Genomic DNA, 17724 nt, shown 5'->3' with positions numbered 1-17724 from the left:
TGAAACTAATTAACATATGTATTACTTATAAGTTTTTGTGGTGAGAACACATAAACCTTGCATCACTTTCTAATGTCCCAGAAGATGTTCATGTAGGTGAAAAATCTGTTTATAATTATCTGAGCCTCAAACCAAATTTGTTTAACATAAACATACAGTATTTTTTTTGTTGTTGTTGTTTTTCTGAGGTAAGGTCTCACTCTGACCCCCCAGGCTGGAGTGCAGTGGCATGGTCTTGGCTCACTGCAACCTCTGCCTCCTGGGTTCAAGTGATTCTTGTGTCTCAGCCACCTGAGTAGCTGGGATTACAGGCATGCAAGCCCAGCTAATTTTTTTTTTGTAGAAACGGGGTTTTGCCATGTTGGCCAGACTGGTCTTGAACTCCTGGACTCTACCGATCCGCCCGCCTCCGCTTCCCAGGTGCTGGGATTACAGGCGTGAGCTACCGCGCCTGGTCAACACAGAGTATTTTTTGCCTGAAGCATAGTTAATGTGTAAATCAAGGGACTGTGCTTTCTTTAGTTCAGAAAGATTATTGAGTTGGTCACTATTTTGGGAAATTATATTGCAGACAGCAATGCTGTTTGTGTTTGTTTTGAGACAGAGTCTCACTCTGTCACCCAGGCTGGAGTACAGTGGCATGATCTTGGCTCACTGCAACCTCTGCCTCCCAGGTTCAAGCAATTCTCGTGCGTAAGCTTCCTGAGTATGTGGGACTACGGGCACGCATCACCACGCCTGGCTAATTTTTGTGTTTAGTAGAGATGGTATTTCACTATGTTGGCCAGGCTGGTCTTGAACTGCCTCAGCCTCCCAAAGTACTGGGATTACAGGCGTGAGCCGCCATGCCTATCCTATTCATGGTATTTTTTATCAACAATATCACATGCCTGTCTATATTAGTCTGATTTTGTAGTAGTCATATTTATAGTTTTATTCTTCTAATATAGTCATGTCTGAGCATTTATATGTTGATATACATGTTACTTTATAACTCACTTTCCTTTAATTTTTCATTTTTATTATAGTTAGCACATTAATTGATATTTGAAGTTTTACATGTGTAAGTAAGTTACAGTAGCTCTGCATTTTATTTCAGGAAGGATAAGAAGGTTATTACAAAATATTTACAACAAAAGGGGGTACAAAATATCTTTAAAGAAAAAATTGTATGGTGACAATTGGGGAAGCTGGCTGATCAGAACACTGGGGATTGTTATAATAAGCCTTCTATTTTTATGTATGAATGAAAATTTCCACAATGATATGTTTTAGGAAAAAAGTTGGGTCTGATGTGATTGAGAATTGCTGCTCTACAGTGTGCCTCAGAAATAGCCACAATTGGGATAAGTGTTATAAAGAAGAGATAGGGTTTCAGAAGAGCAGTGCACAGTGAGGGGTATGACCTAGTCTGGGAGATGAGGGAGTGCTTTCCTAGGCAACTGACATTTGGACTGAGATTTGAAGGATGAGTAATTAACTAGATGAAAAGGAGTAAGAGCTTTCCAGGGAGAGGGACCAGCATATGAAAAAGCCCTAAGGTGGGAGGAGTGTGGTAGGTGGGAAGAACTGAAAATGTCATTTTGTCTGATCACAGAGATCAACAAGAAAGTAGCTCAAACCTATGTAATACACATTAGCAAGGGTTGTGTCAAGCGGGCCTTGTAAGACCTTTTAAATATTTTGATTTATATCTTACATAATTAGATGCCTTTGAAGGGCTTTTAATAGTGAGGGACAAAGGCATAAAACATAAGCATGCATGAGAATAGTTTTTTCAGTGTATGGTTGAGCAAACCATGTATGTGTATGTTTAGATGGAGGCACCGTAAAATTGAGGTAGGCTGGAATGCCGAGCCACCTCATGAACAGCTGCTATTCAGGAGTCACCCAGGTCCCAGCAGACTTTGTCACTAAACCTAGGGCCTCCTACTCCATCGCATGATGGAGGATATGTCTTCTTTGATCAGTCTGTCCCGCTTGAGCATTGCTTGGAGCCATTCGAAGAGGCTGGTGGCTCTCAAAAGTGCAAACATGAGAGTCCTGTTCTGGTCATAGGCTGAGTAAGCTCCTCCTGGCCAATGCCCCCACAGATAACAACTATTATTACATCTGGATGGAAATACATAAAACCAGTAAAATCTACTGGAGAGTTACAAAAAAACCAGGCAGATTCTAGCGGGGAGTTAACACAAGAATGGGACTACTTGGAGTAATTTCCCATTTTCATGGCTTCTAACTTTAGGGCAGGCCCTGATCTATGTCATGTAGGGTGCTTAAAATTCCAATAGTAAACTTTAGTCTTTGTGGCCTGAAGAACCAGAAGATAAAGCTCAAGCAACTACAGCTGTTGGGAAGTGAGAGGAGAATCCTGGAAAGCAGAGAGAGAGGAGAAGCATCAGACTCTGTGAATAAACTCTGCCCAAACCTTGGCAGACTGCTGAATTATGCATATGTGGAGCAGACTCCAAAGAAGCCCAGCTGAGGATGAAATAACTGAGGATTTTGCCGGGCGCGGTGGCTCACGCCTGTAATCCTAGCACTTTGGGAGGTCGAGGTGGGTGGATCACAAGGTCAGGAGTTCAGGACCAGCCTGGCCAATATGGTGAAACCCCGTCTCTACTAAAAATACAAAAAAATTAGCCAGGTGTGGTGGCACATGCCTGTAATCCCAGCTACTCAGGAGGCTGAGGCAGGAGAATTGCTTGAACCCGGGAGGAGGAGCTTGCAGTGAGCTGAGATCGTGCCACTGCACTCCAGCCTGGGTGACAGAGTGAGACTCCATCTCAAAAAAAAAAAAAAAAAAAAAAAACTGGAGATTTCATCTACTGCCTAAGAGACAGATTTGTAGTTTGAGTTAACCAAGTTAGATACTATGAAAACAAAAGTAAAAAAACAAAAGTCAATACTCTTTGGAGGAATATAAAGGACTCCAGAGTTGCTGTAATATAACATTCAAAATATCCAGGATATATTCCAAAACTACTCATATACAAAGAAACAGGAAAATGTAACCTATTCTCAAGCTAAATGACACTCTAGAGAGTGACCTTAAAATGCTTAAACGTTGGGATTAGCAGGAAATGATTTTAAACTTTTATAACTATGCATTAGTAAAGGAAATAAAAATGATATAAAGGAAAATGTATTCATAAAGAATGAGTGTGAAACTAAGATAACTAAATAGACATTCTAGAACTGAAAAATATGATATCTGAAATAAAAATTTAAACTGGATGGGGCTTAATGGAAGAATGGAGATGACAGAGGAAAGCATCCTTGAAATTAAAGTTGAAGGAAGAGTGGGAGGGAAAAAGAAATACATCCTCAGTGACCTGGGATCAATATTTTAAAAACCTAGCACATTTAATTGAAATCTGGGAGGGAGAAGAAAAACAATGAGGAAGAAAAATATATTTAAAAATTTAATGGCTGAAAATTTCCCAAATTTGGTGGGTGCCTTATAGTTAAACTATTGACAGACAAAAGGAAAAATCTAGAAAACAGCAAAGAAAACAACACATTAGATACAGGGAGAGAATTCTGTTTACCACTGACGAATCATCAGAAACAGTGGAGGTCAGAAGCGAATAGAGAATCTTTAAAATGCTGAAGGAAAAAACATGTCAGCCCAGAATTTCAGATTCAGCAGAATAGCCTTCAAGAAAGAATATGGGACCGGGTGTAGTGGCTCACTCCTGTAATCCCAACACTTTGGGAGGTTGATGCGGGTGATGACCAGAGGTCAGGAGTTTGAGACCAGCCTGGCCAACATGGTGAAACCCCATCTCTACTAAAAATAAAAAAAATTAGCCAGGCATGATTAGCTGGTGCCTGTAATCCCAGGTACTTGGGAGGCTGAAGCGGGAGAATCGCTTGAACCCAGGAGGTGGAGGTTACAGTGAGCTGAGGTGGCAACACTGCACTCCAGCCTGGGTGACAGAGCAAGACTCTGTCTCAAAAAAAAAAAAAAAAAACAACAAAAAAAAAAACAGAAAGAATATGAAATAAAGACATTGTCAGATAATTCATTGCTAGTAGATCTGCACTATAAGAAATGCTAAAAGAAGTTCTTCAGGCTGTAGGGAAATGATACCAGATGGAAAGTTGAATCTTCAGAAAACAATGAAGGTTAGAACTTGTAAATATCTGGGTAGATATTTTAAAACTTTCTTTTTCATTTCTTAAAAAAAATTACTATAGCACAAAAAAGCATCATCTTGGGGGTTCATTTCTTATGGTAGATATAAAACATATCCCATAAAGCATGGGATGATGGGTGAGGGTAAATGGGCCTATATGGTTGCAGGGTTTTTACATATTACCTGTAGTGGTACTTTTTTTATTTTGAGACAGAGTTTCATTCTTGTCATTCAGGCTGGAGTGCAGTGGCGCTATCTCTGTTCACTGCAACCTCTGCCTCCTGGGTTCAAGTGATTCTCCTGCCTTAGCCTCCCAAGTAGCTGGGAGTACAGGTGCCTGCCACCACGCCCAGCTAATTTTTGTATTTTCAGTAGAGACATGGTTTCACCTTGTTGGCCAGGCTGGTCTCAAACTCCTGACCTCAGGTGATCCTCCTGCCTTGGCCTCCCAAAGTGCTAGGATTTCAGGCGTGAGCCACCAAGCCCGGCCAGTGGTACTTTTTAACACAGTAAAGAGTATAATGGTAAAGATATATGTTGGAATTCCTAAAAGCAACCACTGGGGGGAAAATATAATCATGCAAAGAAGTGTTGCTAAAAAAAAACTAGTAGAAAAATTAAAGTGAATAATCCAAACAAGACAGAAACAGGTATAACTGAACAAAAATAGAGGAGCTATAAATAATAAAATAGTAGATCTAATTCAACTATATTAATAACTTCATTGACTTTAATGAAATATACACTGATTTAATGCATAAAGACAAATGGCTAAAAGCAAATGCATGGAAAAAGATCATACAAAGTAGCATAAGAAGCCTAGAGTGGTTATATTTATATCAGATAAAATAGACTTCAATATAAAAAGTATCACCAGAGTTAAAGGGATCATATCATAACAATAAAAGGTCAGTTCATGAGAAAGATGTAACAGTTATAACTATGCTTGTGCCTGATATCAGCGCTTCAAAATACATGAAGCAAAAATGGATACAACTAAAGGAATAAATAGACAATTCACTGTCAGAGAGATTTGAACATTCTTCTTTCAGTGATAACAACAACAAAAATTAGTATAGATTTTGGGAGGCCGAGGTGGGAAGATTGCTTGAGCCCTGGAGTTCAAGACTAGCCTGGCCAACATGAAGAGACCCAATCTGTTCAAAATAAGACCATTAGCCCAGCGTGGTGGCATGTGCCCATGGTCCTAGCTACTTGGGAGGCTGATGTAGGAAAGATTGCTTGAACCTAGAAGGTTGAGGCTGCAGTGAGCCATGTTTGTGTCATGGCACTCCAGCCTGGGTGACAGAGTGGGACTGTGTCTTTATTTATTTTTATTTATTTATTTATTGAGACGGAGTTTTGCCCTTTTGCTGAGGCTGGAATGAAGTGGCGCTATCTCAGCTCACTGCAACCTCTACTCCCCGGGTTCAAGCGATTCTCCTGCCTCAGCCTCCCGAGTAGCTGGGATTATAGGCTCCTGCCACCACACCAGGCTAATTTTTATATTATTAGTAGAGATGGGGTTTTGCCATGTTGGCCATGCTGGTCTCAAACTCCTGACCTCTGGTGATCTGCCCGCCTTGGCCTCCCAAAGTGCTAGGATTACAGGCCTGAGCCATTGTGCCTGGCCGAGACCCTGTCTTTAAAAAAAACATCAATATAAATGATTTCCACACAACAACTGCAGAATATACTTTTTTTCCCCAAGTGTATATATAAACCAGATGCTGGGCTGTAATTCTCAGTATAGTTGAAAGGATTAAAATAATATAGTATGTGTTCTTTGACTGTAATAAAATTATTATTAATTTTTTTTTGAGACAGTTTCGATCTTGTAGGCTAGGCTGGAGTGCAGTGGCATGATCTCAGCTCACCGCAACCTCTGCCTCCTGGGTTCAAGCGATTCTCCTGCCTCAACCTCCCAAATAGCTGGGATTACAGGTGCCCACCACCATGCCCAGCTAATTTTTGTGTTTTTAGTAGAGACGGGGTTTCACCATGTTGGCCAGGCTGGTCTTGAACTCCTGACCTCAGGTGATCCACCCACCTCGGCCTCCCAAAGTACTGGGATTATAGACGTGAGTCGTAGCTCCTAGCCTCTTAATAAGATTAAATTAGAAACCAAGATGTGTAAAAGGCCACAAGTATTTGTAAATTCAGTGAATCTTCCAAATAATCTGTGAGTCAAAGAAGAAATCACAAGAGAAATTAGAAAGTACTTTGAACTGAATGATAATGAAAATACGACATCAAAATTTGTGGGATAACTGTCATGGCCAAGGGGAGCCAAAGGAGAAATGATGACTAAATGTAATGTGGTATCCTCTGTGACATGCTGGAAGAGAAAAAAGGTAGGAGGTAAAGAATGAGGACATCTGGGCTGGGCATGGTGGCTCACACCTGTAATCCCAGCACTTTCAGAGGCCAAGGAGGGCAGATAGCCTGAGGTCAGGAGTTCCAGACCAGCCTGGCCAACATGGTGAAACCCCGTCTCTACTAAAAACACAAAAGTTAGCTGGGCGTGGTGGCAGGTGCCTGTAAAGCTACTCGGGAGGCTGAGGCAGGAGAATTGCTTGAACCTGGGAGGCGGAGGTTGCCGTGAGCTGAGATCATGCCACTGCACTCCTGCCTGGGAGACAGAGCAAGACTGTGTCTCAAAAAAAAAAAAAAAAAAAAAGAAAAAGAGGACATCTGAATAAAATATGGCTTCCATAATAACAGTGTATCAGGCTGGGCACAGTGGCTCATGCCTGTAATCCCAACACTTTGGGAGGCCGAGGCAGGTGGATCACAAGGTCAGGAGTTTGAGACCAACCTGGCCAATATGGTGAAACTCCATCTCTACTAAAAATACAAAAATTAGCGGGGCATGGTGGCGGGTGCCTGTAGTCCCAGCTACTTGGGAGGCTGTGGCAGGAGAATTCCTTGAACCCAGGAGGCAGAGGTTGCAGTGAGCCAAGATTGTGCCATTGCATTCCAGCCTGGACAACAGAGTGAGACTCTGTCTCAAAAAATAAAATAAATAACAATGTATCAATATTGGTTTGTTAATTGTGACAAATGTAACATTCTGATGTAAGATTTTTGTCTTTTTTTTTGAGACGTAGTTTCAGGTGGAGGTTACAGAGGTTGCAGTGAGCTGAGATAGCACCACTGCACTCCAGCCTGGGCAACAGAGTGAGACTCTGTCTCAAATAAATAAATAAATAAATAACAGTGTATCAATATTGGTTTGTTAATTGTGACAAATGTAACACACTAATGTAAGTTTTTTTTGTTTGTTTTTTTTTGTTTTTTTTGAGGCTGAGTTTCACTCTTGTTGCTCAGGCTGGAGTGCAGTGGCCCGATTTTGGCTTACTGCAACCTCCACCTCTCAGGTTCAAGTGACTCTCCTGCCTCAGCCTCCCGAGTAGCTGGGATTACAGGTGCTTGCCATCAAGCCCAGCTAATTTTTTTCTTTTTAGTAGAGATGGGGTTTCACCATGTTGGTCACGCTGGTCTTGGAACTCCTGACCTCAGGTGATCCACCTGCCTCAGCCTCCCAAAGTGTTGGGATTACAGGCATGAGCCACCACACCTGAGCAACCTGGATAATTTTTAATTTTTTTGTGGATACACGAATTTTGCTGTGTTGATCAGCCTAGTCTTGAATTCCTGGCTTCAAGCCATCCTCCCAAAGTGCTGGGATTACAGACGTGAGCTACTGACGTGGCCAAATGAAAGATGTTAATATGGGAAACTAGAGGTGGGGTATATGGAAACTATACTATCTCTATCTTTGCCACTTTTCTATAAATCTAAAACAATTCTAAAATAAAATGTTTATTAAAAAGTACTAAAAAATGTGGGATGCCAGTGAAGCAGTGCTTACAGAGAAGTTTATGGGTTTAAATATATTTATTGGAAAAGAAAAAAGGCCTAAAGACTTGACCTCAAGTTCTACCTTAAGAAGCTAGTAAATGAAGAACAAAATAAACCCAATGTATGTTAAATGAAAGGTAATAAAGACAGCAGTAGAAATTAAGAAATAGAAAAAGAAAATAGACAAAACTGGTCTTTGAAAAGATTAATAATATTAACAAACCCATAGATAGACTGATAAAGAAAAATACAGTTGACCTTTGAACAGCTCAAGGGTTGGGGGCACCGATACCCTGTGAAGTCAGTAATCCATCTATAGCTTTTGACTCCCCCAAAAACTTAACTACTAATAGTTTATTGTTGACTAGCAGCCTTACTGATAACATGAGTTAATTAACACATATTTTGCATGTTATATATGTTGTATACTGTATCCTTAAAGTAAGCTAGAGAAAAGATATTATTATTAAGGAAATCTTAAGGAAGAGAAAGTATACAGTTGACCCTTGAACCGCACAGGTTTGCGGTTCGCAGGTCCACTTATACACAGATTTTTCTCTGCCTCTGCTACCCCTGAGACAGCAAGACCAACCCCTCCGCTGCTTCCTCCTCGGTGTACTCAGTGTGAAGACTGAGGATGAAGACCTTTATGATGATCCACTTTATGAATATATATATATATACAAAATGGATAAAGATTACTAAATGTACTGTTAACAATGAGATGAAGCTGGGCATGGTGGCTCACACCTGTAATCCCAGCACTTTGGGAGGCCGAGGCTGGTGGATCACCTGAGGTCAGTTCTTGATCAGCTGGCCAACATGGTGAAAACCAGTGTAAGGTGACTAAAGTGAGGATGGCAGTAGGTTTGGATTCCTTATTTACTTACTTCTAGTTTGTCACTTCTCAGTCACCTTGGTTGAGATCACAGAGTTGGATGGTTTGTATTTCCTTGGCTTCTAGTCTTTGTCAGGGCCTTTAAAAAGAGCAGTGGTTCCCATCTAGAAGACTGGGCTAATTACAGTATTTCAGAAAGCTTAATGGAATTTATGTATTTACCCAATTTAAGAATATATAAACTAAAGTTACTTTGCCTGGAATCATGTCACCTCAGGGTTTAAATACTAAATCTTCCTTATCGATTGAATACTTTGCTGGCAGTTATATTTTGATTTTTTAAGAAAATGAAAATGAGTATTCTTAATACATGCAGATTAGAAATGAGCTTGTGAAAGGAAAAAATAACTAAAAAGAGGGAGACTTTGGTTAAAAGGTTGATATAGAGTATTTCTATTATATTGTATGGCTTTATTTTTTTTATCCATTTGCTAGGGGTTGATGTTGTTGGCTTTGTCAAATAAAAGCACAGTTTGTATTTTAGTGCTTGGTTTTCAACCAAGTAAATATATAAAAACTCCACAGTAACTGCTATAATTTCTACCAGAGAGTCACACTCTTTTACTGACTTTATTGCTTCTAAGTTTCTTGTTCCTGTTTTGCTTTGGTGGTTAATAATTGGAAGCACAATTTAAAACATTTCTGGACGTATCTTTACCAATTTCTCCAACCCTTAGAATAGTGCTTAGTGCTCAATAAATGTTTGTTGAATGAAGTAACAAAATAACGCATGTAAGTAGTAATTAAAGTTGAAGTAGATGTTACATTATAAAGCAGTTAGAAGTAGTATGCTACAGCACTTAACATTTCTGTTTGAGATTTAAGAGATTATTAGTAATATGGAAAGTATAAATAATACTGTACCTATCCACAAAGGTATATTTCTTTGTTTTGGTAGCTAATTGACATTCAGCTTTCTTAAATGTCCATATTTTTACCCGATAATCTTACTTTAGTGTTTTGAATTTTATTTTTTATTTTTATTTTTTGAGACAGAGTCTCGCTGTGTCGCCCAGGCTAGAGTGCAGGGGCGTCATCTCGGCTCACTGCAACCTCTGCCTCCTGGGTTCAAGCGATTCTCCTGCCTCAGCCTCCCGAGTAGCTGGGATTACAGGCACGTGCCACCATACCCAGCTAATTTTTGTATTTTTAATAGAGACATGTTGGCCAGGCTGGTCTTGAACTCCTGACCTCAAGTTATCCACCCACCTCGGCCTCCCAAAGTGCTGGGATTATAGGCATGAGCCACCATGCCTGGCCTGAACTTTATTATTGAATAAAATTATTTAGGCATTCAGTAATATTATGAAGTGGGTTGCATGGCAAGAAAACTGCCGAGTAATCACAGGAGTGGAGAACCTTAGGCCTCTTTCATTGGTCCTTCTGCCATATTATCTAGGAGTTACAGATTAAACTGTGGTAGTTTGTAACCTCATTATGTCACAGTTTTAAAATCTCCTAAGGAATGTACCCCAAATGAGGAAGCAGATCTATTAGAGCCTGATGTTTTCTGTAGAAGAAGGAACAATGCTGCTTGGGGAGTAGATTTAAAATTTCATATAGAGCATCTCTAGCAGGGACTTGAGGAAAGTGTGCTAGTGCCAGAGGATTATGAAAGAGTAAACCATTGTTGAGTCTTAATCTAAACCCCTGGTATTTTCTTTCTTTCTTTCTTTCTTTTTATAGAGAGCCTTACTCTTACCCAGGGTGGAAGTACAGTGGCACAATCATAGCTCATTATAACCTCAAACTCCTGGGCTCAAGGAATCCTCCTTGCTGTGCCTCCCAAGTAGCTGGGATTACAGGCATGAGCCATAGTACCCAGCTAATTCTTTCATTTTTTGTAGAGACACTATGTTGCCCAGACTGGTGTTGAACTCCTGTCCTCAAGTGATCCTATCACCTCAGCCTCCCAAGGTGCTGTGATTACAGCTGTGAGCCACTGTGCCTGGCCTCAAACCCTGCTATTTACTCAGCTCAGTTACTAAACTCACATTTAGTAACCCAAGATGGATAGTTCCATTTGGAATAATCAACAAATACTTTTGAATTCCTTATGATATGTCATACACTGTTCTAAGTGCTAGACCGAACTATACTAGTGAACAAAATATGCAAAGTCCTTTTTCTCACGGAATTTAAATTTTAATTGGCAGAGACAGAGAATAACAAATACATACTATGTCAGGTAGTAAAAGATAATGTTCCAGATGTCACTTGTTCATAAACTATTCCAAAATTTCCTGGCTTAAAACAACTCTTGTATTGTGTCTCACAATTCTCTGGGTTGAAGAGGGCTTATCTGGATGGTGTATGTATTGGTCTCACTTGGGGGTCTCTCATTGGTGGCTGGACCTGGAGCCCCCAAGATGGCTCACGCTTCTGGCTGTCAGTTGGTCCTGCTTGTTGTTTGGGTACTCAGTGGGGGCCTCAGTTCTTTTTTTACCTGGCCTTTCCCTGTGGCTTTGGCTTCTCACAGCACGGTGGCTGGCTTTCAAGAGGGAGTGTAACAAGTGGGCAGAGGCAGAAGGTACAGATTTCTGAAAGCCCAGCCTCTTAAGTTATACAGCATCACTTCTGCCACATTTTATTGATCAAAATAGTTCACAGGGAGGGGAAACAGACTCCATCCACCTTTTCATGGATGGTGGCAAGATCACATTGCAAAAGAGCACATGGGGTAGCAGATATTGTTGAGGCCTTCTATGGAAACATGATCTACCACAGTGCTATAAAAAATTAAGCAGGTTAATAGGGGAATAGAGAAACTGGAACTATGTGGAGAGGTGGGGTGTCAGAAAGTGCAATATTATGTAGAGGGTTAGGCAGGGCCTCTCCCATAAGGCAATATTTTAGATACCTGATGGAAATGAATGAGCCACGGGAACCATAAGGACTTTTTAAGGAAGAATATTCCAGGCAGAGAACAGAAAATGTAGAGGTGCAAAGGTGGGAGGATCTGTGATGTGAACAAAGAATAGCAACGAGGGGAATGCAAGTGCACCAGAATGATAGAGGAAGAACGGGAGGGCATGCGAATGATTCGGAGAGGAAGAGAGAAACAGATATTGTAGCCATGGCAAAGACTAGGTTTTCTGTGAGTGAGATGGACGCCATTGGGAAATTCTGAGCAGAGGAATTACATACAGGTTGAGTTCCTTTATCCGAAATGCTTGGGACCAAAAGTGTTGTGGAGTTCAGATTTTTTCGGATCTTGGAATATTTGCGTACTTACTGGCTGAACATCCCAAATCGGAACATTCCAAATCTAAACTGCTCCAGCGGGCATTTCCTTTGAGCATCATGTTGACACCCAAAAAGTTTCCGGTTTTGGATCATTTCAGATTTCAGATTTCAGATTTTTAGATTTGGAATTTTCAACCTGTATATGTTCTAACTTAAACTTGTTTTTTTTTTTTTTTTCAAAGTTGGAGTCTTGCTCTGTCGCCCAGGCTGGAGTGCCGTGGTGCAATCTCAGCTCACTGCAACCTCCGCTCTTGGGTTCAAGCAATTCTGCCTTAGCCTCCTGAGTAGCTGGTATTACAGGCACCTGCCACCACACCCAGCTAATTTATGTATTTTGAGTAGAGACGGGGTTTCACCATGTTGGCCAGGCTGGTCTCTAACTCCTGACCTCGTGATCTGCCCGCGTCGGCCTCCCAAAATGCTGGGATTACAGGCGTGAGCCCCTGCACCTGTCCATTCTGAATTAAACTTTAAAAGAATCTTATTCTAAGAATCTTTGGCTACTCTCAAAACACTGTTTTGAGAATCAGCTGTGAGAGGACAAGAGCAGAAGGAAGGAGTCGTTTCAGTAGTAGGGTAATGCCGTGTGGGATGAGAGATGTGCTGGGTGGTGAGAAGTGTTGGAATTTGGCTATATAGCAAGGTAGGTCTGACAATTTCCTAATGAGGGTGGATATGGGGTGAAAAAGAAGGATCAAGGATGGCTCCCAAAATGTTTACCCTATGCACCTGGAAACGGAAAGATCTGGGGGAGGAGCAAGGTGGAGGTGAGGAAGATAAGACTTGTAATTTTGGTTATGTGAAGATGAATGTAAGAAGGTACTGAGGAGAAAAGGTTACTAAATGTTACTTCCTCATTGCAGCTGTGACGTTGAGTGCTTCAGATCTGGTCACTATGGTACGAGAACGAAAATGCATATTATGCCACATCGTGTACAGCTCAAAAAAGGTAATAATGGAAGAGGGAGAATCTGAGGCTTTATGACTATTTTTTAAAGAGACATGTTATTAATAGATGTTATTAATATTAATAGACATATGTTATTAATAGGAAAAGCTTTGACAATGTCTTATTTATGCTTCTTTTCTTTCCTAAACCATAGTCTCATTCCACTGGTTTCTTTCTCGTTACTGCCTCCTAAAGCCAGTACCTGTATTATTAAACTTCTGTCCATCCAGAATTTGAGCGTATTCAAAACTAGATGACACAGAAATTTAGTAACCAGTTATAGGGAAGATACCTTAAAATTCCAAGGTTATTTGAAGTCATACTGCTTTCTGTAATTTTAAAATCATGTACTTTTTGATTAGCTAAGGATATAGCATCTATTATATGTACCTACAATCTGTTTATGCCTATGCTTGTGAAAAATGCAGCACAGCAGAAATGGTATTAACAATATCCTAGATGTCCACAAGGTGGGGATGTTGCTCAAAGTAAAACTTTTTTTTTGAAATGGAGACTTAACTGTGTTGCCTATGCTGGAGTGCAGTGGCGCAATCTCAGCTCACTGCAACCTCTGCCTCCCCAGTTCAAGTGAGTCTCCTGCCTCAGCCTCCCAAGTAACTGGGATTACAGGCATGTGCTGCTGGGTATGGCTGATTTTTGTATTTTTAGTAGAGACAGGGTTTCACCATGTTGCACAGGCTGGTCTTGAACTCCTGACCACAGGTTTTTCACCTGCCTCGGGCCTGTCAAAGTGCTAGGATTACAGGCATGAGCCACTGTGCCCGGCCAAAACATCTTTTTAGGACCTAAAATTGGCTGCAATTTGTGTCACTTTTTGCCTTTACCTGCCTTTATCATTTGCTTTCAGAGTAGTGCTGCTAGTTTAAATACTGAGGAATTTATTCTCTTTGCTTTTAAGATGCTCTTGATTGTTACTGGAAATGCAGAGAACTGGGAGGATCATGGGCTAGGTTAGCCAGGGAAGTGTGAGTGGAAGTGGTAAACTTTGAAAAGTGTCTAGAGTAACGATGGTTTAAGAGAAACGAGGAAGAGATATTTTGGGTAGGAGAACAACATGTACAGAGACAAATGGAATGGAGTATGACAGTTCTAGGAGTTGGCAAGAAGGCTCATCTGATTAAAACAGTTTTGCCTTGGGAATAGCAGGACTGTAATTTGTAATTAAGTGAAGATAGTTGATAAACAGTGTTGGATGCCAGACTGAAGGGTCGATTATGATCCACCAAGTAGACTTGGGTGGATACTATTTTTTTTTCTATCTAGATTTCTGTTAGTGATGGAAAAATTAGTGAGATTTAAAAATCATGTTTAATAATATACCTGCTACTGTTTACAAAAATAGAAGAATGCTCTTCTAGTTTTAAAAATTTGATGAAGGTTTATACAAATTGTCAATAAGTCAGAATTCCTTATGACTACTTTCACGTTGGACAGAGGTAGGGAGAAGATGTGAGATGGAAAGGCTGCTGTTCAGAGATGTGATATCAGAGTTTCATAGAATAGCAGCCCTATCTTGTGATACCATGATTTTGTGATTTTGCCATTTTAAATCTTTCTGGCTCTGCTACTCTGGTTTCAAACATACTTTTATCTCTTCATACTTTTCCATGATCATAATGAAGTTAAATGAAGGGCTGGAATTATCTACTCCTGCCCTAGGAAAAGCTGATTGTAGTTTTTATTTATTTTCCTTTTTTTTAAAAAAAGGAAAAGCTGGTTGTAGTTTTTATTTTTATTTTTTGCCTTTTTATTTTTTTTTAAAGCAAGGGAATGGCCTGCTTTAAGTGAGTGGTATGACTTAAGAAAGTAACAAAATGGGTTAGTTGGAAGGGATAACTGATACTTATTTTCAGATAGGACTATGAACAATTGGTGTTGAAGCCATGCTTGTCTCCAATTTCCCAAACTAGTGTAACTCTGGTTTCTCCAAATAAACTATGGAGGAGAAAAGGTTCTAAGTGACTTGAGTATGGGGAAAAGCTGTGTAAGGTATCCCTGAGTATCCTGAGGCCCATTAACATAAAATACTGAGAAGCCCTGGAGTTAAATATATGTGTATAATAGAGATGGAGTCTTACTGTGTTGCCCAGCCGGTCTTGAACTCCTGGCCTCAAGTGTGAGCCACTACACCTGGTCATATTTTTTGTATTATTCAATGTTTTCCACATGTGTTTAACCATGAGTCCCCCCTCCCCTCCAACCAACCCAGCCTTTAAAAATATAATACTGATTAATATACAAGGCCTAAATAGAAGCCTAATACATGAGAAGGAATGCATTTGGGGCTATTACCTTAATCCTGTGCCTGTGGATCTTTTTTCTTTTCTTTCTTTCTTTTTTTTCTTTTTTTTTTTTTGTTGTTGTTTTGTTTCATTTTGAGACAGGGTCTTACCCTGCTGTCTAGGCTGGAGTGCAGTGGAGCCATCTCAGCTCACTGCAACCTCTGTGTCCCAGGCTCAGGTGATGCTCCCGTCTCAGCCTCCTGAGTAGCTGGGACTACAGGCATGTGCTATTTTTTAATTAAAAATTTTTTTTTGTAGGGATGATGTCTTATTAGGTTGCCCACACTGATCTTGAACTCCTAGGCTCAAGTGATCCTTCCACCTTGACCTCCCAAAGTACTGGGCGTAATTACAGGTGTGAGCCACCATGTCTGGCTGAATTTTTTCTAATGATTTTTGAAAGCTCAGTTGTCTCAATGTTTGTATTCATTCCTTGGAGCAGGATGGGAGAAGGTTTTGCATGTAAATTTAGGACAAGATTAGTGAAGTGTTTTAAAAAAAACAAAAGTCACATTAAAACTATTAGTGGGTGATAACATTTTTATAGTAAGAAGAATCAGTTTTTTTGTCAGACAAACCCATTTCAGTGAATGCTGTTTTGGTCAGGAATGGTTTTGTTGTAAGGAACAGAACTCACTTAAATTTAGCTCAAGTAAAGGGGATTAGGCATATTGGTAAGCATCTAAATCAAGGAGGAATTGAATAACAGGAAGCATTGAATAACAGGACTTGAGAAGTTTTTTTTTTTAGACGGCGTTTTGCTCTTGTCGCCCAGGCTGGAGTGCAATGGTGTGACCTCGGCTCACTGCAACCTCCACCTCCTGGGTTCAAGTGATCCTCCTGCTTCAGCCTCCTGAGTAGCTGGGATTACAGGCATGCGCCACCACGCCCAGCTAATTTGTATTTTTAGTAGAGACGGGGTTTCACCATGTTGGTCAGGCTGGTCTCGAACTCCTAACCTCAGGTGATCCACCCGCCTCCGTCTCCCAAAGTGCTGGGATTATAGGCGTGAGCCACCGTGCCCCACCGAAGATGTGTATATTAATCGATTTTTCATTCTATTCTGTCACTAACTTGTCTTAGTTTTCAGGTCCACAAGTGTTAATTTTAGTTAGCGGCCAGTCAGTTGTGGCTAGAAGAGGTCATGTGTAAAGCTACTCTCTCCTTATTTTTTTATTTTTTATTTTTTTTGAGACGGAGTCTTGCTCTGTCTCCAGGCTGGAGTGCAATGGCGCGATCTTGGCTCACTGCAACCTCCGCCTCCTGGGTTCAAGCGATTCTCCTGCCTCAGCCTTCTGAGTAGCTGGGATTACAGGCACGCGCTGCCATGCCTGGCTAATTTTTGTACTTTTAGTAGAGACGGGGTATCACCATGTTGGTCAGGCTGGTCTCGAACTCCTGACCTTTTGATCCGCCCACCTCAGCCTCCCAAAGTGCTGGGATTATAGGCGTGAGCCACCGCACCTGGCCTACTCTCTCCTTATGAAGCATCTGTAGAGCTAGGAAGGAAACGATGGTAATCTTCAGTAAAATTGCCATTTAAAAGAAGTGTTTTGGCTGGGCACAGTGGCTCATGCCTGTAATCCCAGAACTTTGGGAGGCTGAGGTGGGTGGATCACCTGAGGTCAGGAGTTTGAGACCAGCCTGGCCAACATGGTGAAACCCCATCTCTACTAAAAATACAAAAAATTAGCTGGGCATAGTGGCGCATGCCTGTAATCGAGGCTACTCAGGAGGCTGAGGCAGGAGAAACTCTTGAAACCCTGGAGGCAGAGGTTGTCGTGAGCCGAGATCGAGCCGCTGCTCTCCAGGCTGGGCGATAGAGCGAGACTCCGTCTCAAAAAAAAAAAAAAAAAAAAAAAAAGGCGTTTTGAATCACAACCCTGTTTATCACACTATAGTAGATAACTTTAAGTAACAGTGGGTTGTGTTGTATTGTTTTTGACAAATGAACTGTATATAATGAAAAATTTCAATGCACCAAATGCTTACAGTGTGACATGGTGTTTGAAGCATTAGCTTTGGTGTCAGATCTGCCTGGGTTTGAATCCCACTTTGACCACTTGATTATTTGTCACTCCGAGAGGGCAAGACTAAATATTTTGTTTGTTTGTTTGTTTTTTGAGACAGAGTCTCACTCTTGTTGCCCAGGCTGGAGTGCAGTGGCGTGATACCAGCTCACTGCAACCTCCGCCTTCCCAGGTTCAAGCGATTCTCCTGCCTTAGCCTCCCAAGTAGCTGGGATTACAGGCGTTCACCACCAGCCCAGTTAGTGGTTTGGTTTTTTTTTTTGGATTTTGTATTTTTAGTAGAGATGGGGTT

General features: G+C 40.9%; 1 protein-coding gene across 11 annotated transcripts in view; it reads left to right on the top strand.

Moving 5' to 3' along the window:
- ZNF106 (zinc finger protein 106) overlaps nt 1-17724 on the top strand; it is a 78319-nt gene that overhangs the window by 5807 nt on the left and 54788 nt on the right. For 10 of the 11 annotated variants that reach the window (NM_001381997.1, NM_001366844.3, NM_001381998.1 and 7 more), the window contains exon 2: nt 13014-13099. The exons of the other annotated variant lie outside the window; for it this stretch is intronic. In NM_001381997.1, the coding sequence (NP_001368926.1) occupies nt 13046-13099 (54 nt within the window). In that variant the 5' untranslated portion in view covers nt 13014-13045. The remainder of the gene's footprint in view (nt 1-13013; nt 13100-17724) is intronic. 11 annotated transcript variants of the gene reach the window in all.

This window comes from Homo sapiens, chromosome 15 (assembly GCF_000001405.40).
Source record: "Homo sapiens chromosome 15, GRCh38.p14 Primary Assembly".
NCBI lineage: Eukaryota > Metazoa > Chordata > Mammalia > Primates > Hominidae > Homo > Homo sapiens.
Note: the sequence above shows the minus strand (reverse complement) of the source record. Positions and strands in the feature narration are given on the sequence as shown.